Below are 23,494 nucleotides of genomic sequence, written 5' to 3' on the forward strand. Positions count from 1 at the left end.
AGCTTGCTCCTTGCAACTTCTTCCTAGTCCAGGACAGATTTACTGGAAGTTTCTTTAGAGGCAGTGCTTTAGGGCTTTGGTCTTCATCTGTTGGGTTGTACTGTTTGTCGTTTGTCATGTTTGCTTTGCAAGCCTGGTGGCTAATGTTGCTTGCATTGGCTCACTGCTCTTGGGGCCATCTGTAACCTGTATCAACCCCGGATGCTTTGAAGTTCAGTGTGCAATAAAAAGTTCATTAAAAAGATGTGGAATCATGAAAATAAGGTTACAGAAATGTTAACAAAGGATCATATCCTGCTTCTGGTACTTTTCTTTTTTAAAAAATGTATTTCTTTGAGAAATTTATGTCAGCATTTAAACCATGGAAGAGTTTAGGAAGGACAGGCCTGGGTCAAAAGGAGGGTGAGATTCTTGAGGAGATATCTTGGCAGAGCCCCAGCCTGTTGTCTTAATTGAGAGCTCAGGGTCTAAGGAGAGAATGTGAGCCAGAAAAAAAAAAATCTAGGTTTCTTATGACTAACAGTTTGAACCCAGCTTTTTTTTTTTTTTTTTTTTTTTTTTGAGACGGAGTCTCATTCTGTCACCCAGGCTGGAGTGCAGTGGCACAATCTCAGCTCATTGCAACCTCTGTCTTCTGGGTTCCAGCGATTCTCCTGCCTCAACCTCCCAAGTAGCTGGGATTACAGGCGTGTGCCACCACACCCAGCTAATTTTTTTGTAATTTTAGTAGAGACAGGGTTTCACCATGTTGGCCAGGTTGGCCTCAAATTCCTGAGCTCAAGTGATCCTCTAGCCTCGGCCTCCCAAAGCGCTGGGATTACAGGCATGAGCCATCACACCCAGCCAGGTTCCTCTTTTTCGCAGGTCCTCCATGTTCGGGTGCCCACACGTAATACACAACCAGCCCCTGCATCCTTGCTCTCCTCTATTTTTGGGGGGCAAATATCCTAGAGGCTCATTCGGTTATATGACCATTGATGACCATTTAATTACTACTCATGTTTAATAATAAGCAATTATGTGATCGTCACTTACTTTTCAGCCAGAGGGTCACCATGTGTACACTTAGCAGCTGCTAAATCTTAGTCCTAACAATGATAGTCCCATATCCTCCCAAGCGACCGTGAGGACCTCAACAGCTTGCACATCTAATAAACAGCACTGCAGGGTTTTCAGGGCTGCCACCGGACAGCTCTGGGTCACAGCCAGACTTACCCTCTCTCTTTCCACCTGGTTGTGGTTGAGCCTCATGAGTTCTGCAAACCTCTGCTCATAGAGGTGAAGCAGCAGCACCAGGTACAAGCCTGAATTCATCAGCTCGTTTTGTGCCTACAAATGGAAAAGAAAGCTCTTCAGTTCATCTGTAAAATAGTCATGGTCTAAATTGTGGGATGCAGGGTAACAAGGCTAAGAGGTGACAAGAACTGGGAGAAGAGCCCAAGCTCCAAGGCAAGGCCTGCTCTTGGGGACCAGAAGACAGAGCAGGAGGAGATCCAGGGTAGAGGCCAGGGCAGCCACTCCCCTGGGATTTTTTACTAGCTAGTGGAGGATGCTCGGAGAAAGTTCCATTTTCCAGGCTCAATCCCATTCCACATTTATTGAGCAGTTACATATGCAAAGCCTTGAGCTGGATGTTGTGGGGAACACAGGGCAAAAAGCCTCAGAACTCCCTGCTGGGAACCGATCACCTGGTGTGGGGGAGAGAGCTTCATCGGTAAACAGCTCCAGTACAAGCTGGATGTGTCGGGTGCTACAACAGAGATGCACCAGGCCTTGTCCATAACGTTCTCAGCAGTCACAGATGTCCCCTTGTGAAAGGCTTCCTGAGGAGCCTCCTTTGCCCCCATCATTCCTTTGCTTCCCAGTCCCTAAGCATTCGTCTTGATCTTGCATATCACCTTTTGCACTTGTTAACGTTTCCGCTTTCTCTTGAGGAGTGGGCTGTGCTTTTTTTCTCGCTGGTGCTCAGAACAGGCGCTACACAGGGAGGATGTGATGGTCTGGCTGCCCATGGCACTTCTCTGTCCTTAGCACTTGGGCTTTGCTGCCAAGAGTGGCTGTGCTCACTCTAGACCTTTCACAGACCTTCCATAAATCAGTGGTATTAGTAACAACTACTCCTATCCCTCTATAGGGGAAGGAGGGGAAGGCCCTTTCAGTCCCCATCTTTCCCTTGAGTGGGGGTCTTGGGATGGGCCAGGCTGTGCTCACAAAGCCACCCAGCCCCCGGGGAATAGAGTCCCCAGCAGAGGGCATGGCCCCTTCCGTCACCCTTGGGAAAGCTTGCAACTGTGACTCTGTCGGCCCAGGATAACGATGCGTGGGCATGAATGACACAGTGAGCACTCAGTGTCTCATCTGCCTTCTTCCTGCAGCAGCGCGGGTGCCACATCTTCCTGTTCTCATTAGATCCAGGGCAGCTCAGGAGGTTGGCACAGAACCCACCTCTCCCAGGACCAAGCAGCTGCCAGAAAAGGCACAGAAGTTGAGCAAGGATTGATATGCTCTTCCTTCTGAATCAGGGCCAACTCTGGATCTTGGTGACAGCCGGCCCTGAGATCACTGCTGCAGGCCTCTCCACCATTCTACAGATCCATCTTCGAAGGCCCCAGTCCTCTGTCCTTAGCAGTTAGCCTCCTATTTTTAGCCTTTGGTCGTGTTTTTTGTGCTCTGCTGACCTTGGCCTAGAGTGAGTAGAGAAGAAGTTGCTTGTTTGCATTATTTCTGTTTTATTTATTTAATTTTATTTTTGAGACAGACACAGTCTTGCCCAGGCTGGAGTGCAATGGCGTGATCTCGGCTCACTGCAACCTCCACCTCCCAGGTTCAAGCAATTCTCCTGCCTCAGCCTCCTGAGTAGCTGGGATTACAGGTGTGCACCACCACGCCCAGCTAATTTTTGTATTTTTAGTAGAGATGGGGTTTCATCATGTTGGCCAGGCTGGTCTCGAACTCCTGGCCTCAGGTGATCCACCTGCCTTGGCCTCCCAAAGTGCTGGGATTACAGGTGTAAGCCACCCTGCCTAGCCACTTTTTCTGTTTTAATTGCCTCCTCCTGCCCTCCCCGTGAGTCTGTGCCTGCCTCCGACTGTCTCGCCAACCACCTCTTCTGAGAAGCCTTCCTCACCTGGCTTTTAGCTCCTCCTCACCAACAAAGCCTTGGTCCTTATTTGTTTACCTCATCCCCGGCTTCCTCCTGCAAAAGCTGCCAGTGGTTCTCTCACCAGTGCTCTTTGCCAGCCAGCTTTTATGCTTGAGACACCGGGATGCATGATGACAAATCAATCAGCTAGAAAATGGTTTGGAACTATCAGGTTTGTCAAAGCATTCAGGAAAATCATTTACTTTTTATGACTCAATAAGGCCCAGAGGCATGCAGATGGGAGAATATCCACTAATGTTTTCTGCAGATAATTTGAAAAGTCACTTCTAGCAGATTGTGTCTCTTCTCTGATCTGTGGGAGGGAACCTGCCACACAGTGCCATCAATCTCGCCGGCTCGGTTCCTTTATGTGCGCCCTTTGCAGAGCTGGTGATGCTCGACAAAGGGGCTCAGCCCACCAATCAGAGCAGGCGTGTGATAGTCAACTCCGAATCAGCCTTTACACTCCTGAGCTACAAGTGGGAGGGATTTGTTAACTCAAAGAGTTCCACCGCACTTGGCTGGCCAGGGCCAAATGAACGAGGTTTTGGAGCAGGGCTTACTGGAGCTACGGCCCATCCACCCCTTCCTTGTCCCAATCACATCACACTTTGACTCCCACGTGGAGTTCCCTTTGTGTGCCAGACTGAAGGGAATGGGGGTGGCATTAATAGGAGGGGGCGGGGACATTAAAAAGGAGAAGGCATGTGAAACAGCGCAAAAGGGCTCCGGAGATCTCAGCCCACCTGCCAGCTGTTTTCTCCATTTTGCTAATATTCATTTAGGCCAAGAGACTTGCTACTGACGGAAATTCTCAATATATTCCACTTAAAGAAGCTGACAGCCTGGCTGAATGTTCTATCAAGTCTTCAAATATATTCAAGAGTGCTCCTAGGTATAAGGGTGATTAGGTGACTGCGTGTGTCTGAGGACATCTGTCCTTGGCTGAGATGGAGCCAGGCCAGGCCTGTGCTTCACAGCAATGACAGCCTGAGGCCCACTGAGACTCTCCTGTGCGGCAGAGCAAGGATGGCAGGGGTGTGTTCCAATTCAGTGAGCAGGGGCCCCTGGAGTGCATCTTACCTGGAAAGCGCTGCCGGCTAAGGTGGGCAGTGCAGGGCCACCGGACACTGTGACTTTAGGCAGAGTTTTAACTGTGCAGGACCAAAGGGACTCAATTTGTAATGGAAGGGAAGTAACCTCTGTTCTGCCTGTTTCCTCAAAGCATGATAGTAAAGTGAGCTAATATATGGGATCTCGCAACACCAACACATCCTACAAGAGACAAGATTTAAAGACAGGATTCCAGGTAAATTGTCTGGGCGTTAAGATCTGTGAGGGCAAGACCTGCATCTGTCTTGTTTGCTCCTGACTCCTAGTGCCTGGCCCAGTGCCTGGTATACTGTGCATGCTTTATAAATATATGCACAGATGAAGCAATGAGAAAAAAATGCATAATTGTGATGGATCAGACAGTGACCCATTCAGCCACAACTTTTGAATCTAGTGGCTCCAGGTTTAACATGCATCAGAAATACTGAGCAGGCCTTTTCAAACACAGTTGCCAGGCAGTCCCGTCCCCTCCCCTCCCCCTTCTCCTCTTTTTTTGAGACAGTCTCACTCTGTTGCCCAGGCTGGAGTGCAATGGTGTGATCTCGGCTCACTGCAACCTCCGCCTCCCAGGTTTAAGTGATTCTCCTGCCTCAGCCTCCCGAGTAGCTGGGATTTCAGGTGTGTGCCACCACTCCCAGCTAATTTTTGTATTTTTAGTAGAGACGGGGTTTCACCACATTTGGCCAGGCTGGTCTCCAACTCCTGACCTCAAATGATCCACCCACCTCGGCCTTTCAAAGTGTTGCGATTACAGGCGTGAGTCACCGCGCCTGGCCTCACTGCTCCTCCTTTCCTCCCTGCATTTCTGATTCAGCTGGACTGGAGTGGGCCCAAGAATGTGTACTTCTAACAAGTTCCCAGATGATGCTAACGCTCCTGGTTTGGGGACCACCCATTTTTGAGAACCACTGATCTAAACTAAGGGTGAGCACGTGGTAGCTGCTAAGCTGAATCTGGCCTGTGGATGTGCTCTGGTTGGATGGAAGGAAGCAAGAAGGAAGGTAGAAAAGAAGAGCATGACCATCTTTAGTTGGGGAGAGCACTTTCCATTTTGCCACAAATGCCACCACGCCCAATGGCAGGATACCTAGAAGATTACCATCATTTGTTGTCTGCCTGGCCTCTGTGGTATTTGAGTGTGTAACCTGTGACCTAAGCTTTCCTTAAACCTGTTTTCACCTCATCCATTTTGGAGGCTAGAATGTTATTTGGCTCGCCGCATGCTGCTGTCCAGGAGTTCTGCCCTCCACCGCAAAACCGAGTGCCCAACCAGCATCCAATATGAGTCCTGCTTCCAGGCGACAGCCAACGCTCACAGGAGCAAATGTAGGCTTGCCTCACACACAGCACTACCGAAAGAGTCAGGAGAAAGGAGGGCTGTACTGCCACAGGCCCTGACAGACCTAAGATGAAACCGCCAGGTCCCTGGGGTCCCACAGCTGCTCTTGTCTAATGATCCCCTCTCCAGATGCTTGTAGGAGTTCCTGATCTAGCCGCTTGAGGCCTGGTAACAGACCTTGACCTTGGGCCTCATACTAGAATAATCCGAGTTCAGTGCCCTGTTAGCACCTGTGAGCAGCATCTGCCCTGCTCCCACCAGAAGTACAGAACTAAGGTAGGAAAACGTGCTCTGACGGGAGCCCCTCCACACTCTCAAAGGCCACCGACAGTGCTGACCCGGCACCTAGAGGACACGCCCTGATCTGTGCTCAGGTCCCAGGGGAGGCGTCCGTCCCAGATGTCACAGACTTCACTCCAAGGCCCGGTTGATAGAAGGCCCGCTCCTCTCTTTCCTTCCGCTGTTAAACATCTCTTCTTCAGAAAGGCCTTCTCTGGTTCAGAGAGCAAGTCGGAGTCCCACAGCTGTTCCCGCAGCGGCCTGCATGGTCCTTGTTTTGACCTCCACCTGCAGGAATTGCTGGCTTCAGTCTTCGCTGCTGGTCGGTAGGGCCCTGCGGGTCTTGGGTACGGCAGCATTTTCGGCACAGTATCTCACAGGCAGCAGGTGCTCAATAAGTATTTGAAAATTTAGTTAAACTGGCTGGGTGTGGTAGCTCACACCTGTAACCCTAGCACTTTGGGAGGCCAAGGTGGGAAGATCACTTGAGCCCAAGATTTTGAGACCAGCCTGGGCAACAAAGTGAGACAGACCCCATCTCTCAAAAAAAAAAAAAAAGAAAAAAAGCAGGGTGTGGTGGCACACACCTGTGGACCCAGCTACTTAGGAGGCTGAGGCAGGAGGATCCCTTGAACCCAGGAGGGACCCTGGCCCCATCCCAGAGCTGGGGTTAGACCTGGGTTGGGCCTGTGTATCACCATTTTAATAGAAAAAAAGAAGACCTGCAGCTAAATGTTATAAGTTATCATTTTGGGTGGTAAATTATAAGAAATTTTTGTATGGTTTTTGTAATTAAACAAAAGCAAAAAAAAAAAAATTCTAAGTGGGAAAATATATAAGAAAAACAGTTCACTAGTCAGTTAGTTTGAGGTTAAGTGAGAACCAGGCTAAGCTGAAGCCCGTTCTAGGTTTCTTTTGGTTTTGCCCCTTTTTTGGTACATGTCTAGACTTGTACACGTCTAGAAGTGGTGCCACTTCTCCAGAAAGGAACCCATTTGCCAAGGACAAGCAGCAGGAGGGTGGCCAGGAGGCCCAGGTGAGCCAGGTTTGGAAGCGAGGGGAAGGGACCAGGCCCACAAGGCACAGGTGTCCATGTCACCTCCACGGCCAGGCTGGTGGCCTCCTCAGCTGGGCTTGTCCCCTCAGTGGGCTCACCGCGCCTCGGGGACGAGCTGAGTTTCAGTGACGTTGTAGATATCTTTGTGTTCAACAACAGTTGCTTCAGTCTTTATCTATGGCGAGCTTCAGAATTCGCCCAAGTCAGGCTCCCTGGGGCCTGGGGTTTCGCCCAGGCTGTGAGCAGACAGGCACTATGAATTCCCAGCAGGTCATGGGGACAGTCAGGGCTGCAGTGAGGTGTGAGCCCTCAGCCGCCTCCAGACAGCAGCCGCCCATGCTATGACCTGGCTCTCCCCACAGGGCGGGCCTGGCAGCCTAGCTGTCACCTGGGATGATAATGCGGGCATTTCCCAAAGGCTCTGATGGCTTGTGAAGTTCTCACTGAAACGAATTTAAAATCATTCCTGCTTCCACGTGGAGCAATGACTGTGCTGGATGCTTTCTGTCTCTCCTGCAGATCCGCACCCCTCCTGCTCTGTGGCCCAGGGGCCGGCCCCATGGCTTTCCCCAGCCGGGCTTCCTTGCCCTCTGGCTTCCCGTTGGGTTTGGCCCATGGGAGGCCCCGGCAGGAGACCCGAGGGCGGAGGAGGGAGAAGCTGGGTGTCTCTTCCCAATCCCTCTCTGCTGGGCGTGGTGTGACAGTGGTTGCTGTCTTCTCCTGAAGGCCACAGGCTGCTGGTGGCTGATCCTTAGCTACAGCGCTCATGACCCTGGCCACACTGCTAGTCCCAGGACGCCTCCTCGTTCCTTGCTGCTTTCTTTTGCTGCCCAGATTTCCCTCCTCCCTTCTGCGTTCTTCACTTGCCCCCTTTGAGTGTGCCACCATCTCTTCCCACCCAGATCCTGGCTGATACAATTACTGTCATAGTTCTTTCTAGAAGGTGCTTGTAGCCAGTTGTCTTAACATGGAGGGTGCGGTGGGGCCGAGGATATGGATGTGACCCAGTGGGGCTGGTTTGTTTTGTTAGTTCACTGATGGACTCTAGGCCAGTCATTGGTGCACGTAGCTTTCTCCCCTGAGTGCCAAGTCAGTCGAGCGTCTCTGTGGCTGTAATCTGACAGTTCTCATGCGTGGAGCCTCCTCTGCCCACACTCTGTCTATGAGGTGATGTACTCGAGTCTTTTCCTACATCCAGACCTGTGAGGTGTGAGTTAACATCTCTCACCTTCTACAGATAAGAGAACTGAGGTGCAGAGAATTGCCATAGTCTCCTCAAGGTCACGGGGCCACTCTGGGGAAGAGAGTAGGGTTTAGACTGAGATCTTAATCAAAGCTGGTAGGCTTTTCAGTGGGACCTGCGGCCTCAGACTACATGAGTGCAAACATCTTAGTACAAATGGAAAAATGTGCTGCTGTTGGGTCAGTTCTATAAATGCCATTGATAAAGGACATTAGATGGTGGCAGCAGCTTGGCAGAGGGAGAACCATGTGGAAAGGCTTGGGGCCAAAAGGGATCTTTTCTAGACAAGGCATTCCCCTGGGCTGCACGGTGTTTGTGGTGTCAGTAGATTGCTCTGATAGATAGTATTCTGGGCAACCCATCCTCACGTGGACACGTCCTCCTTAGGAGATTCGGCAGGCTCCGTTGCCCAAAATGATCTATTTCTTGAGATGAACCTGTCGGCACCCTGACTGGCACCTGACCTCAGGCACTGAGAGGTTCTGGTTTCTTTCAGTATTTCGCCTCCCACATGCTCAGCGTCCAGGAATGTGAGTCGCGCTGTTTATCGTCTCAGATCTTAGTGCCTGGTGGTTATGATGCAGTGATGTGAGACCTTCAGGCCTCAAAACACTATTTATTTCTCAAGAAGTCCTTCTCCTCTCCCCTCCCCTGCCCTCCCTTCTCTTCCTCTCTTCTTTTCTCTTTTTTCCTTTTCTTTCTCTAACCTCCTGATGCCTAACCTCTGTAATGCTGCTGTGGCATTATGCCCTTATTCACTGAACTCTTCAAATATCCTTCATTCTTGTCAATATTTTGTTCTTTGGTCTACACCCTTAAAATTTTAAACAAGGAAACTGCAGAATTGCCTAGACTCACACAAATCATTTTGACTTAGCTGTCAAAACGTTGGCCAAAAAAAGGTCTGGTAAATATTAATTGACTGCTTATAAAGTGGAAATCACCTTCTAGATCAGCCCCATCCAATAGAATACACTCAGAGATACAAACACAAATCACAGATGTAATTTAAAATTTCTAGTAGCCACATTAAAGAAGTAAAAAGAAACTGGTGAAATTAATTTTAACAATATAATTTATTAACCTAATATTTTCAAATGATCATTTCTGTATGTAATTTTTACTTTTTTTTTGATATTTTACTTTTTTGGCATTAAGTATTTGCCTAAGAAAATCTTTATTTCTCCTTTGCTCTTGAAGGATAATTTTGCAGGGTACAGAAATCTAGGTTGGCCAGTTTTTTCTCTTAACACTGTAAATATTTTGTTTCTCTGTCTTCTTGCTTGCATGCTTTCTGGGAAGTCAGATGTCATTCTTATCTTTACTCCCCTTTAGGGAAGGTGTTTTTCCCCTTTGGCCTCTTACAGGATTTTTTCTTTATCTTTGATTTTTTTTTCCATTTTAAATATGATGTGTCATGGTGGTGGGTTTTTTGTTTGTTTTGTTTTGTTTTGCTTTTGGCATTTATCTTGTTCGGTGTTCTCTGAGCTTTCTGGATTTGTGATTTGGTGTCTGACATTAATTTGGGGGAAATTCTCAGTCATTATTGCTTCAAATATTTCTCTGTTCCTTTCTCTCTTTATTCTCCTTCTGGGTATTCCCATGATGTGTCTATTACACCTTTTGGATAATTGTCTCACAAGTTCTTGGATATCCTGCTCTGTTTTCTTTTCTTTTTTTCCAATCTTTGTTCTCTTTGTTTTTCCATTTTGGGCAGTTTCTATTGGGATATGCTCAACTCAAAGATTCTTTCCTCAGCTGTATCCAGTCTACTAATAAGCCCATCAAAGGCATTCTTCATTTGTTAGAGTTTTTCACCTCTATCATTTCTTTTTCTTTCTTAGAATTTCCATTCCTCTGTGTACACTGCCCATCTGTTCTTAAGTGCTGTCTACTTTACCTGTTAGAGTCCTTAGCATATTAATCATAGTGTTTTACATTCCTGGTCTGGTAATTCCAACATCCCTGCCATATCTGAGTCTGGTTCTGGTGTTTGCTCTGTCTCTTCAAACTGTGCTTTTCACCTTTGAGTATGTCTTGTAATTTTTTCTTGGTAGCCAGACGTGATGTACTGGGTAAAAGGAACTGCTATAAATGGGTTGTTAGCCATGTGGTGGTGAGGTGTGGGGAGAGGGGAAGTATTCTACAGTCCTTTGAGACTCTAGGTCCCAGTCTGAGTGAGCTTGTGCCTCTGGACTGTGAACTTCACAAGTGCTTCTCAGTTTCTCTATCCTCCCCCTCCCACCTTAGGTGGGACAAGATGGCTAGAGAGGGCTGGAGTTGAGTATTTCCCTTCTTCCAGTTAGGTATGGCGCTCTGATAAAACCTCCAAAGGTTAGGCTCTGGTTAAATAGTTTCTCCTGAGGGCAAACTGTTAGTAAGAACAGAAAGCTCTGGCTTATACCAAAATGGTTACTTTCCCCCTCCCCCTGCTGGAAGCATGAAGGAATTTTTCTCTGCTATTCACTGTAAGCACCTGGTTGCACTCCTGGACAGAAAACTCACTGAAGTGTGGGGATACCCTTATGACAGGGTCCCCCTGGAATTTTTGACTCTCAGACTTGTCTACACTGAGCATCCAGCAGTTCATTAATTACAGCTTAAGATTGCTTGTCCAGCACTGGTTTCCATAGAGCTTTCTGCTCAGGAGTCTCTGCTCCGGTAAGTTGTGATTTTTTTTTTTTTTTTTTTTTTTTTGAGATGGAGTCTCACTCTGTCGCCCAGGCTGGAGTGCAGTGGTGCGATCTCGGCTCACTGCAACCTCTGGCTCCCAGGTTCAAGCGATTCTCAAGCCTCAGCCTCCTGAGTAGCTGAGATTACAGGCATGCGCCACCACGCCCAGCTAATTTTTGTATTTTTAGTAGAGATGGGGGTTTCGCTGTGTTGGCCACGCTGGTCTCAAACTCCTGACTTCAAGTGATCCGCCCACCTTGGCCTCCCAAAGTGCTGGGATTAGTGATTCTATCTGCCTGTCTTTCCAATTTTAGGGGCAGTGATTTGCTCTGTGACTTCACTTCTCTTATGGATCTAAGAAGGGTTGTTGATTTTGCACTTTTTAAAGCTTTTTACTTGTTGTTAAAACGAAGTGACAACTTCAAACTCTTTACATACTGAACTGGAAAGTGTACTAAGTCTTTGAAACTTGGTGTTTAAAATTAGGTGATATATTACCCCCCTTTTTTTTTTTGGTACTGTGTCTTTGAAATTTGGTGTGTATGTGACACTTACAGGATATGTTGATTAGAACAAGCCACCTGTTCATTAGCCACAAGTGGCTTGTGACTTCTATATTGAACAAAATAGTATTAGGTTGGTGCAAAAGTAATTGTGGATATTGCCAACAAAAGTGGCAAAACTGCAATTACTTTTGCACCAACCTAATAGTTCTAAATGGAAGACTGTTTGCCTGAGAATTGGGTGATTAACTGTTATCTCAGGCACAAATCAACTTCCCACTTGAGGGTAACTAACTTTTTTACAATATTAGAAATGCAGTCCAAATACCCTAGGAGAGTTAATTCACTAGGTGATAAAGATCAGCCAGTAGGCATTTACCTCATGTTCATTAGCTGTATGTAGGTAAAGCAGTTCCTTCTTATCCCAGGGTTACTTGGTATTTAAATTAGGGACCATTTCCTCCAAGACCCTGATTTTTTTTTCTCTTGTTATTAAATTACTTCTGCAAACGTGGGTGTGGAGCTTGCCAGAATTTTTTGGTATTTTTCTGTGTCCAGTTGCCCACTGAAGCTTCTTACTTTTGTTCCCAACAGCAGGGCAAACTCAACCCAGGACAAATAAGACTTCCAACTCTCGGCCAGGTGTAGTGGCTCACACCTGTAATTGTAGCACTCTGGGAGGTGGAGGCAGACAGATCACTTGAGATCAGGAGTTCGAGACCAAGCTGGCCAACATGGAGAAACCCCATCTCTACTAAAAATACAAAAATTAGGTGGGTGTGGTGGCACACGCCTGTAATCCCAGCTACTCAGGAGGCTGAGGTGGGAGGATCGCTTGAACCTGTGAGGCAGAGTTTGCAGTGAGATTGTGCCACTGCATTCCCGCCTGGGCGACAGAGTGAGACTCTGTCTCAAAAAAAAAAAAAAAAAAAAAAGGCTTTTCAACTCTCTAATACTCTAATTTAGTGGCAGGTCTTCTCAGAGAAGTAAGCTAAATGGATATTGTCAGACTCCTGCCAGCAGAGACCTTCTACATTTCTTAGATCAGGGAAGGGGAATGTCTTCTCGCCCTGCCCCTCTAACATACTTTAACCTGTGGAGGCAGAGTGGCCACATTTCTTACCTGAGATTGCTGGTGCTTCTGGTAGAACTCAATCATGTTAAAGTCACCCAGGTCAACCAGCAGGCCTTGCTTACACATCTCACAGGTCTTCACGGCACCAAGATCTGCTCCTTAAATTGGATAAAGAATTATATGTACATATAACCATGGGTCTGTTTGTGTTAGCACTTTGGACAGGTGATATTTGGGGAGTGAACTTGTGTGTGTTATGAATTCTGAGCTTCAGTGACCTTCCTTTAAAGCCAGCCATCTTCTGTAGAAAATGACCTTGAATCTGAGAGCTGAAAAATTTCCTTTGTAGTCATCTATTATGCAAGCTTCATAGAAGTGAAATTCCCACGACTTTTAAATAGCAGATCTTGCTTTCTATTTAAATATAAACAGGATGGTTCATAAACTTGGAATTGCTGCACAGAGGCTAAGAGTCTGTAACACAGGTGTTTGTAAAAAGAGTGACTATTCAGCTTTTTTTTTTTTTATTGTAGACCCAACACAGGTCCAAGTAAATAAATTAGTGAGGACCAAAATAGATGGCAGAAGCTATTCTCGATCAATGGCTTAAAAATCTGCCTTTACTCCTGCCCAGGTAACATTGCCACCTGAGAACAGTGAGGGAGCGAGGGGCCAGGTGTGGGTACTAGTTACAGTAGTACCCAGGGCCAGCTCATCAGCCTGAGCTCAGACTCATCGGGGAAAAGGAATATGAGAAGGCTTCCTTTGTTGCTGTTTTTATAAAAACAGGCATTCTAGATCAGCATTTTTATCCTATTCCCCAATGCAAAAGTGGAGGATGCAGAGCTGGGCTGTTATGTCTAAGCAAACATTCTGCCAGACAGTTTCTCCCCCTTAGTTGCGGCTTTTGACTAATGATGTACTGGTGTTTATTTTATGCATTAGAAAATAAAAGACCTATTAGTTACCTGCATGTATTTGGTAAAAATAGGGCTTGTGCAGTTTCATACCTCCATTCTATTTCCCCACTGGGGATATAAAGAAACAGTAAATAATAGAGACTTTCAAAGGGCAAGGATGAACAGGAAGTAATCCCTTATCTGCATTTTGTTCGCTTGACTTTTTTTTTTTTTTTTTTTAGCGTCATTCAGTAACGCTTTAGGCTACCAAATGTCCCATGAGTCTTCCGATCGAATCCTACTGAACACACCCATACAAGCGTTGACATTTATGAGCATAGCAGCATTTTCATGACATGTTTCACAGGTAACTTTTTCTGTGTTAGATGTTTAATTGGCCCAAATTTCTAGGAAGATAAAGGATTGCATGGCAGAGTCGTTAGCAACCAAAATCTACTCGTTTTCTTCCCTCTCTGAAGGACTGAATATTTTGCTCGTTATATGGATATGCGTTTAAGCATCTTGATCAGTGGACTTATATTTCTTATGCTAGGGAAGTTGCATAAAACGGGCTCCATGGATGACACAGTAATATGATTACCCCACGTGTTCATTCTCTGATTCCATGGTGTGCTGTCCTTGGTGAGGGGGCGTGGCAACACCTCATGGGGACAGGGTAAAGCTCTAAGTCTCCCTGCAGCCTGGATAGTGACGGCTAAGGAGAAGGATATGGAAGACGGGGAGAAATAGGATCTGGCTGTGGGGGGATATGTTTTCAGAGATGTGTGTCTGAAAGAAGCCGCAGCTATTTTCTGATCAAGTTGCTCTTTGCACTGATGTTCCATGCATTTTTTTTTTTTTTTTGCTTAAAGTTGATCTCATTCCTAAAGCCATGCTTTAAAGAAACCTTCTGTTCTCTGCCCAGAAAACTACAGCCGACCTACCGATGTGGTTGTATTTAGGTTATAACCTGCTCAGGGAGTTGAGAAGGTGCCGCACACCCAGTTATAAGATGCTAGGGAGCTGACAAAATCAGCACATGGAAATTTCTTTATCTAATATGGTTCTAGACAATCAGATCAGCACTCTTATCCCTATTGCTAAAAGGCAGCTTTGTTTAGTTTCTTAGGTGACCCCCAAATAAAAGGAAGTAGGATGTGTGTGCTGGGGGTCTCTCATGAGGGACCTTCTGAAGTATTTTGCTGGGTGTCTGCTAGCTGGGCACGGCTACTGTGTGTCTGCTGAGCTTCCACCGCTGACCCACTTCTATTTCCTTCCTCCTGAGAGGCGATCTTAGCATCTCTGCTCAGGCCTCAAGCAGAGGTAGAATTCAATAGCATTTGTTCCCAGGAGTCTTCTCTCAGATAAAAGCAAAAAACAAAAAACAAACCAAAACAAAAACAAACAAAAAACCCCCAACTCCCTCCCATAGTTTAAAGACAGCTTTTATGAGCAAGGATCTGGAGCTCAGCCACGTGTCCCTGAGTCGCTGTTCTGCGGAGGAGAGTGAGCTGATGACAAGGCTCCGGGGCCCACACCGTGGTGCCTCATGTTAATTACATGTCGTGGCACGTTCACTGCACTTCCTTCCCCACCTACCTGATGTTATTTTCACTTTCAGCCACTTTTTCAGGCACTCTTGATGAACAAACTGCAGGCTTCCCACACAGCCGCAAGGCTCCAGGAGGGGGTTGCTTGGGGAACCCCCGGCTATCTGACAGATGCGACACAAGTCTCCCTCCTCCTCGGAGTCCTCCTCCAGGAGACTAAATGTGAAAACAAGCCCTCGTGACCAGGAGGCTACACGTTTGCAGTTTCTACAAATACCAGTTCCCAGAGCATTGACAGAGAAGGAAGAGGGCTCCTGGTACTCACCCGCTGCCCCCTCTGACCCTAGTGAGATGATTTTTGATAACACAGGCACAAATTCTCTCTTTTTTTTTGAAACAGAGTCTCACTCCGTTGCCCAGGCCGGAGTGCAGTGGCACAATATTGGCCCACTGCAGCCTCAACCTCCTCAGGCTCTGGTGATCCTCCCACTTCAGCCTCCCAAGTAGCTGGATTACAGGTGCATGCCACCACACCTGGCTATTTTAAAAATTATTTTGTAGAGATGGAGTCTCACGATGTTGCCCAGACTGGTCTTGAACTCCTGGGCTGAAGCGATCCACATGCCTTGGCCTCCCAAAGTGCTGGGATTACAGGTGTGAGCCCCTGGGCCTGGCTGAGGCACAAATTCTTGTAACAGGCTTCTTTGCAATTGTCAATACGTGTGAGCTGACATGGAGGACCAGCACTGCCACCATAAATCAAGAGGTAAAGGGAAATGGCTACAGAATCATTTTCAAACTGGAGTCAAGGCCAGGAGCCCCTCTCCCTGCCAGGAAGTTGGTGGGGGTGGCATACTGGTGAGTGCATGGGATTCGTGGTCAGGGGGCCTGGGTTTGAGGCCAGCCTCTGAAACTTGTGAGTTGTGTGACTTTGGATAAGTTCCTTAATCTTCCCAAGACCCTGTTTCCTCATCTGTACAATGAGGGTCATGGTGATAACACCACTGCCACCTACTTCCTAGGGCTGTGGCCAGGCTGGCTACGTGTGACAATGAGGAACCTGTTCTGCAAACTGTAAAGTACATCTAGTGTCTGGCAAGGTGTTGTGCACAGAGTTCACTTAATAGATGTTGGTTTAGGTGGATGATGAACCAATAAACCTGGACACAATCTCCCGAATAACACCACACATGCCAACAAATGACATCAGCATTCCAGAATGTAAGCGGCTGGAATCTGATGAAGATAAGAACTAACGAAAATGTAAGTAAAGATATTTGTGTCTAATAAATGGTGAGTGAAGAATAGCTGGTCGATGTTCATGTTGGGAGGTTTTAAGAAGCCTAAGGCTATTTTCTTTTCTTTAGAGTCCTCACGGGACTGGGGGCCATCTGGTCAAGGAAAGGAAACTGGCTAGAGACTAAAATCAAAAGAGGAAGAAATGGACATTGCTCTGGATGGAGAAATATATGCTCAATTTCTTGAAAGACTTTTTTCCCCATGAAAGGGCAGCTCAGTGTAAAGAAGCAGAATTACAGTTTTCCATTATGGACATTCTCAATAACTTAAAGACATTTTCAACATTCAGACTTCAATACATTTCAACATAATTTCCATATTTTCGTAAGTAATCAGGAAGAACATGTGTACATGGGAGTGAGTGCTCCAACTGGTGAAGATAAACTAGAGAGAGATCTTGCAAGTTTGAGAAGGTAGGCAGAAAAGTGGTAGAAGATTATTTTTTGTTGTTGTTGTTTGTTTTGAGATGGAGTCTTGCTCTGTCACCCAGGCTGGAGTGCAGTGGCTCGATCTCAGCTCTCTGCAACCTCTGCCGGATTCAAGCGATTCTCCTGCCTCAGCCTCCCGAGTAGCTGGGATTATAGGCGTGCACCACCACACCTGGCTAATTTTTGTATTTTTAGTAGAGATAGGGTTTCACCATGTTGGCCAGGCTGGTCTCGAACCCTTGACCTCAGGTGATCCGCCTGCCTTGGTCTCTCAAAAGTGCTGGGATTACAGGTGTGAGCCACCACACCTGGCCTAGAAGATTTTTAATTTAGGCAACTACACGGGATTTGCATTTGGAAACAAGTGCTCTAAATCAGTGGTTTCCAATAGAAAATAAATGACCATCAGGTTCACCGGTAGAGATTTTACAAACAGATTCCTGGGCTCCACCCTTAGAGGTTCTGGTTCAGTATCTGGGGCCCAGGAACCTGAACGTTAAGATGGTCATGCAGGTCTGAAGATCACTGATCTCAACAGGAGGACGAAGGGCTCTGTGGTGAACTTGTTATGGTTGATAAATATCTGACTCTTAACTTAAGGTCCTCCATCTTCTCAAAGGTATAGGTGGGGATCCACTGGCTACCCTACTTTGCAAAAAAATTTTTTTTAACAAATAAAAGTGAAGAAGAGACAGAAAAGCACAGAAAAGAAAAGGAGAATCAAGCATAAAATCATTACCCCAAAGTAACTGCTTGTTAATAGTTGAGTCTGGCCGGGTGCAGTGGCTCACACCTGTAATCCTAGCACTTTGGGAAGCCGAGGCAGGAGGATGGCTTGAGCTCAGGAGTTCAAGCCCAGCCTGGGCAACACAGCGAGACCTTGTCTCAAAAAAAAAGAAAAAAATATATAGCTTGGTGTACTAGCCTTTGGTATTACTCCTGTGCACATACTGTTTTATAGAATTGAGACTGCTTTTAGGATTAGCTCAAGATAGCAGGCTAAGCACCCCCATCAGTCTCCTTTCCCACACAAATCTCTTAAAAGACCAAAAAAGAAAATTAAATAGAATGAATCCACAATAGTGCTGGAAAACAAGCAGGCCAGAAATAATGAGGAATTCTTGGAAAGTCGATGAAGATATGATGATATTGACGAGAGGAAAGGAAATGGCAACCCAAGGCATTCTCACAGAAGCATGGAGAAGGGAAGGGCAGACCCAGGGAAATGCCAGGCTTGGGCTGCACCAATGCAGGGGATGGGGCAATTATGAGGGTACGAGCTCAAGAACTGCTTCAGCACGAGGGGACCAGCTGCTGCCCCCTTTCAGATACCCTGTGATGCAGGCAGCAGGTGGCATAGTGCCTCTCCCAGGGGAACATTCTGTCATTGTATTCCAAAGAAAGGGAACTCTCCATAAAGGTCAAAGTTTTTTGTCTTGCTAGAGACAGGTCTCACTCTGTCGCCCAGTGGCAATCATAGCTCACTGCAACCTCAAGCTCCTGTGCTCAGCTGATCCTCCCACTCCAGCCTCCCAAGTAGCTGTGACCACAGGTGCACGCCACCATGCCCAGCTAATTTTAATTTTTTTTTTCTTAGAAACAGGGTCTCCATTGTTGCCAGGACTGGTTTCAAAGTTTTGGCCTCAACCAATCCTGCCTCAGCCTCCCAAAGTACTGGGACTGTGGGGAGTGAGCCACTGTGCCTGGCCACAGGTCAAAGTTTTTCAAAAAGTTCACGAATGACATTCAATTACACAAAACCTCCCATTCAGGAAACTGGATCTCAGAGGAGAAAAAGCACACAATTGCCGGGGACAGCGTGCTGGCCACCTCTCTCTACTAAACCACCCATTCCTTCCTTCATGAAACAACTGGGGGCCACCTGTCACATGTGGAAACCACCAGCATGAATGAGAGGGGACAAGGAAAATAAGTCAGCTGACTCTAGAGGAAATGAATTGTTTAACGAAGGGAGGAGGTAATTCTCAGGAGGATTCAGAGAATATTGGCAGCTGCTATGTAAAAGGAACAGCAAGAGATAAGGAGGATTTCTGGAGATTTAAAAAAATGTGATTAACGAAATAAAAAATTCCAGGTGAAACAATATTAATGGACAAAATATAATTCAGGCTAAAAGTCTAAAGCTAAATATTGATTGATCCACCAAGAAGAGATCAGCCATGAGCTTTAATGCACTAAATAAAAGCAAAATTCTTATACATGCAAAGGAGAATGGGCAAATCCAAATCAGAGTGAAGGATTTTAATCAATGTCTTTCAGAAATTGACAAACTCAATGGAAAAGAATAAAGTATGAAGGGTTTTTTTGTTTGTTTTTAAGACAGGGGTCTCACTCTATTGTCCAGGCCGGAGTGCAGTGGCAAGATCTTGGCTCACTGCAGCCTCTGCCACCTCCTGGGCTCAAAGTGATCCTCCTGCCTCAGCCTCTCAAGTAGCTGGGACCACAGGCACACGCCACCACCCCAGGTTATTTATTTATTTTTTTTTTGTAGAGACGGGGTTTTGCCATGTTGCCCAGGCTGGTCTTGAATTCCTGAGCTCAAGGAATCTGCCCACCTTGGCCTCTAAAAGTGCTGGGATTATAGGTGTGAGCCACTGTGCCTGGCCTGAAGGATTTTAACATATGTATTTTATATATGTATGCCAACAAAGAGAGAAGAAAGAATGTACAACCTTTTCTAATGCCATAGCATATTTATAAGTATTGAATATGTATTAGGGCACAAAAAATACTGTTCGTATTTTCTGAGATCACAATGTAATTAAATTAGGATGGGCAATAAAAAATTTTGAAAAGAGGGTAACAAAGAGAGATTATATATATATTTATATGTAGATGATATATATTTATTATATAAATATACTAAAAATATATTTAATCTATGTGTGTATATATATACATATATATGTATAAATATACAAATATAAATGTATAAATATATAAATATATATATATTTTTAGAGACAGGGCCTCACTTTGTCACCCAGGCTGGAGTGCAGTGATCACAGCTCACTGTAGACTCGACCTTCTGGGCTCAAGGGATACTCCTGCCTCAGCCTCTAGAGTAGCTGGGACTACAGACATGTGTCATTACACCCAGAGAACATATATATTTTTTGTAGAGACAGGGTATCGCCATGTTGTCCAGACTGGTCTTGAACTCCTGGCCCCAGGTGATCCTCCCACCTTGGCCTCTCAAAGCACTGGAGTTAATGGCATGAGCCACCATGCTCAGCCCTCAAATATTTTTAAAAAACCATAAATCAGCCGGGTGCAGTGGCTCACGCCTGTAATCCCAGCACTTTGGGAGGCCAAGGTGGGCAGATCATGAAGTCAGGGGTTCGAGACCAGCCTGACCAACATGGTGAAGCCCCGTCTCTACTAAAAATGCAAAAATTAGCCGGGTGAGGTGGCGCCTGCCTGTAATCCCAGCTACTCAGGAGGCTGAGGCAGGAGAATCGCTTGAACCTGAGTGAGTGGTGGAGGTTGCAGTGAGCCGAGATTGCACCACTACACTCCAGCCTGAGCAACAGAGTGAGACTTCGTCTCAAAAAGAAAATGAAAAAAAAACCACACAACAAAACCCCAAAAAACAAAAACAAAACCATAAATCAACAATAAATGTGTATAATTGATGGAGCATTTCACGCAGTGAAAGTCCGAAAACAGACTGATAAGGATAGTGTATGCCAAAGAAAGCATTTCAAATTAGTAAGGAAAGGATAGAATGATTGTGGATTAATGGGATAAACATTTTTAAAAAGACCTTAGAACCTCATCTAATACCATACATCAAAATATATTCCATATGAATTTAAGTATAGCTACCATGTATTAAGCGCTTACTGTATGCTAGATAGTCTATGACACACATAAATGTTTAAAACCTCATTTAGTTGTCACTGTTCTTTGAGGAGTATGTATTGTTATTTCTATTTTCTGGATCAAAAAACAGGTTTTTAGAAATGAAGGAACCTGGCTGGGCGTGGTGGCTCATGCCTATAATCCCAGCACTTTGGGAGGCTGAGGCGGGTGGATCACAAGGTCAGGAGTTCGAGACCAGCCTGCCCAATGTGGTGAAACCCTGTCTCTACTAAAAATACAAAAATTAGCCGTGCATGGTGGTGGGCACCTGTATTCCCAGCTACTCGGGAGGCTGAGGCAGGAGAATCACTTGAACCCGGGAGGCGGAGCTTGCAGTGAGCCAGGATCGTGCCACTGACTCCAGCCTGGGCAACAGAGCGAGACTCCATCTCAACAACAACAACAACAACAACAACGACAACAACAAAAAAGCAGTGAAGGAAACTGCCAGAATCATAGAGCTAAAAGTTGGTAGAATCAGGAATGAAATCTAGAACCATAAGACAGCAAAGCCCATATTTCTAACCACTATGATATATGAAAGGAGAATATAACAATACTAGACAAAAATAATTATGGATGCTTGAGTGAGCATTGGAGTTTCTAAGCATGGCACCAAATGTGAAAGTGATACAGGAAAATACTGACAGATTTGATTGTAAGTAATGTTAAAATTCTACTACACCAAAAATATATACATAAAATGTAAAGTAAATAAAATGGGAAAAGTAAAAACATATCTGTAAAATATTTGACAAAGAATTACTTTTTGTTTTTTTTGAGATGGAGTCTTGCTCTGTTGCCCAGGCTGGAGTCCAGTAGGGCCATCTCAGCTCACTGCAACCTCTGCCTCCTGGGTTCAAGAGATTCTCCCACTTCAGCCTCCCAAATAGCTGTGACTACTGGTGTGCGCCACCATGCCCTGCTAATTTTTGTATTTTTAGTAGAGATGGGGTTTCATCACGGTGGCCAGGTGCTGGTCTCAAACTCCTGACCTCAAGTGATTCACCCACTTTGGCCTCCCAAAGTGCTGGGATTACAGGAGTGAGCCACTGTGCCCAGCCAAGAATTACTAATGACAAACATTAAAAAGCATAGAAATTCCTGGAACTGGAAAGGGCGTGGAGAAAGAGGACCCTCATAAGGGGTGGTGAGATCGCTAACGTGTAGAACTTTCCTGAAGCACAATTTGACAATATACATTAAGAACCTTAAGACTCTGCATTCCTTTCATCAGCAGTTACACATTTAGGAAGTTTTTCTAAGTAATTAGTTATGCATGTGTTATAAAAGGAGACCGATCAAATCATAATAGACACATTTAATATAAGCAGCCCTCAAAAAAATTGACATAACACTGTAAGATGAGAAAAGGATTAAAAAGCATAGAGTTTGGAAAGAAAGAAATCAAACTACTAATATTTTTTACAGTTGAAATTATTTTGTATTTTGGCAAAAATACAGAGAAAACATATAGTCAGTTGGATTTCTACATCTTAGCAACAAAGAGTTAAAATTAGAATTTAAAATACTGTTTCAATAGCAAATAACAACAAATAAAAGAACCAAGGGATAAATTAAATAAATGACTTTTATGAAGAAAACCACAAAACTATACTGAAAGACATTAAAGAAGACACAAACAAAAGGAGAGAGATACAGCATGTTTATCAAAGAAAAAGTCAATATCGCAAATATGTCAATTCTCCCAGAATATTCTATAGATTAAATGCAATTCCAATAAAAATCCCAACAAGTGGATTCTTAAGTATACAGTCAAGGACTCTTCAAAAAAGTAGGGAAGGAGGCTTACATCATCGCATATCAAAAGTTATGAAAGCTGCAGGCATTAAGACGGAATGGCATTAGATTAGGGAAAGACAACAAAAGACCAATGCAACAGAATAGAGAGCCCTGAAACTGGGGCCTGTTGAGGCATGTTCCAAAGGAGAGGTGGCTGTGCAGATCAACAGGGAACTATCCCAAACGCTCGGATATTTCATATTCATAAGTGGGAAAAAATAAAGCTTACTTCACATCACAGATTAAGAACCACTTCACATTTAAGTCCAAATCCATTTCACATTAAATCCTAAATATAAAGCTAGAGATTTTACAAGAAAATAGGAAGAATAGCATAACGATATCAGGTTAAGAGAAGGATTTCTTAAGCAAGACAAGATACAAATTGCAATCCAAAAAGAAGATGGGGCCGGGCACGGTGGTTCAAGCCTGTAATTCCAGCACTTTGAGGGGATGAGGCGGGCTGATTGTTTGAGGTCAGGAGTTTGAGACCAGCCTGGCCAACCCGGTGAAACCCCGTCTCTAATAAAAATACAAAAATTAGCTGGGCGTGGTGGTGCACGCCTGTAATCCCAGCTACTGGGGAGGCTGAGGCAGGAGAATCAATTGAACCTGGGAGGCGGAAGTTGCAGTGAGCTAAGATCACACCACTGCACTTCAGCCTGGGCAATAGAGCAAGACTCAGTCTCAAAAAAAAAAAAAAAAAAAAGACAACATAAAGAAAAAGACAAACTAGACAAACTACAAATTGGGAAAAGATATTTCCAACACACAACTGTTGAAAGATTAAATTAATAGGCCAGAGATATAAAGGTATTTTAAAATAAAATACAAATACTCTAAAAGAAAAATGAGCTAAAGACATAGATATTTGGCTAGGCAAAGTGGCTCATGCTTGTAATCGCAGCATTTTGGGATGCTGAGGTGGGAGGATTGCTTGAGGCCAAAAGTTTGAGACCAGCCTGGGCAACGTAGTGAGACCCCATCTCTACAAAAAAATAAAGACATCAATATTTCACAGAATGGAAAACACAAATGGTCATTTAATATTTAAAGAGCATATAAAATGCCTAACTTCATTAAGTCATGAAAATGCAAACTCAAGCTACAATATCATTTTATTCCCATCAGACTGGCAAATTTGAAAAGCCAATCAATACGAATGTTGTCAAGGATGTATAACATTAGACATGACTGGTTTGACAC

At 45.2% G+C, this 23,494-nt stretch overlaps 1 protein-coding gene and 1 long non-coding RNA gene across 17 annotated transcripts in view, besides 3 other annotated features; one reads left to right on the top strand and one right to left on the bottom strand.

The window, feature by feature from the left end:
* MARCHF10 (membrane associated ring-CH-type finger 10) overlaps positions 1 to 23,494 on the bottom strand; it is a 107,001-nt gene that overhangs the window by 8,702 nt on the left and 74,805 nt on the right. For 15 of the 16 annotated variants that reach the window (XM_005257102.4, XM_005257100.4, NM_152598.4 and 12 more), the window contains 3 exons: positions 14,923 to 15,089; positions 12,473 to 12,582; positions 1,216 to 1,329 (listed from right to left, as the gene is read on the bottom strand). In XM_005257102.4, coding sequence (XP_005257159.2) covers positions 1,216 to 1,329; positions 12,473 to 12,582; positions 14,923 to 15,089 — 391 coding nt within the window. Of the gene's footprint in view, positions 1 to 1,215; positions 1,330 to 1,688; positions 2,685 to 4,225; positions 4,418 to 12,472; positions 12,583 to 14,922; positions 15,090 to 23,494 lie in introns of those variants that run through there. The other variant, XR_934406.4, reaches the window with a different exon arrangement.
* Positions 1 to 23,494, top strand: part of MARCHF10-AS1 (MARCHF10 antisense RNA 1) — a 31,717-nt gene that overhangs the window by 3,810 nt on the left and 4,413 nt on the right. The window lies entirely within an intron of this gene.
* Positions 10,247 to 10,326: a silencer, noted in NCBI's record as "silent region_8812". NCBI's record gives its function as "represses an Ori minimal core promoter by ATAC-STARR-seq in GM12878 lymphoblastoid cells {active_cell/tissue: GM12878}" and the evidence as "EXISTENCE:reporter gene assay evidence [ECO:0000049][PMID:35858748]".
* Positions 10,497 to 10,576: an enhancer, noted in NCBI's record as "active region_12542". NCBI's record gives its function as "activates an Ori minimal core promoter by ATAC-STARR-seq in GM12878 lymphoblastoid cells {active_cell/tissue: GM12878}" and the evidence as "EXISTENCE:reporter gene assay evidence [ECO:0000049][PMID:35858748]".
* Positions 14,914 to 14,993: an enhancer, noted in NCBI's record as "active region_12543". NCBI's record gives its function as "activates an Ori minimal core promoter by ATAC-STARR-seq in GM12878 lymphoblastoid cells {active_cell/tissue: GM12878}" and the evidence as "EXISTENCE:reporter gene assay evidence [ECO:0000049][PMID:35858748]".

Source organism: Homo sapiens, chromosome 17 (genome assembly GCF_000001405.40).
Source record: "Homo sapiens chromosome 17, GRCh38.p14 Primary Assembly".
Classification (NCBI taxonomy): Eukaryota; Metazoa; Chordata; class Mammalia; order Primates; family Hominidae; genus Homo; species Homo sapiens.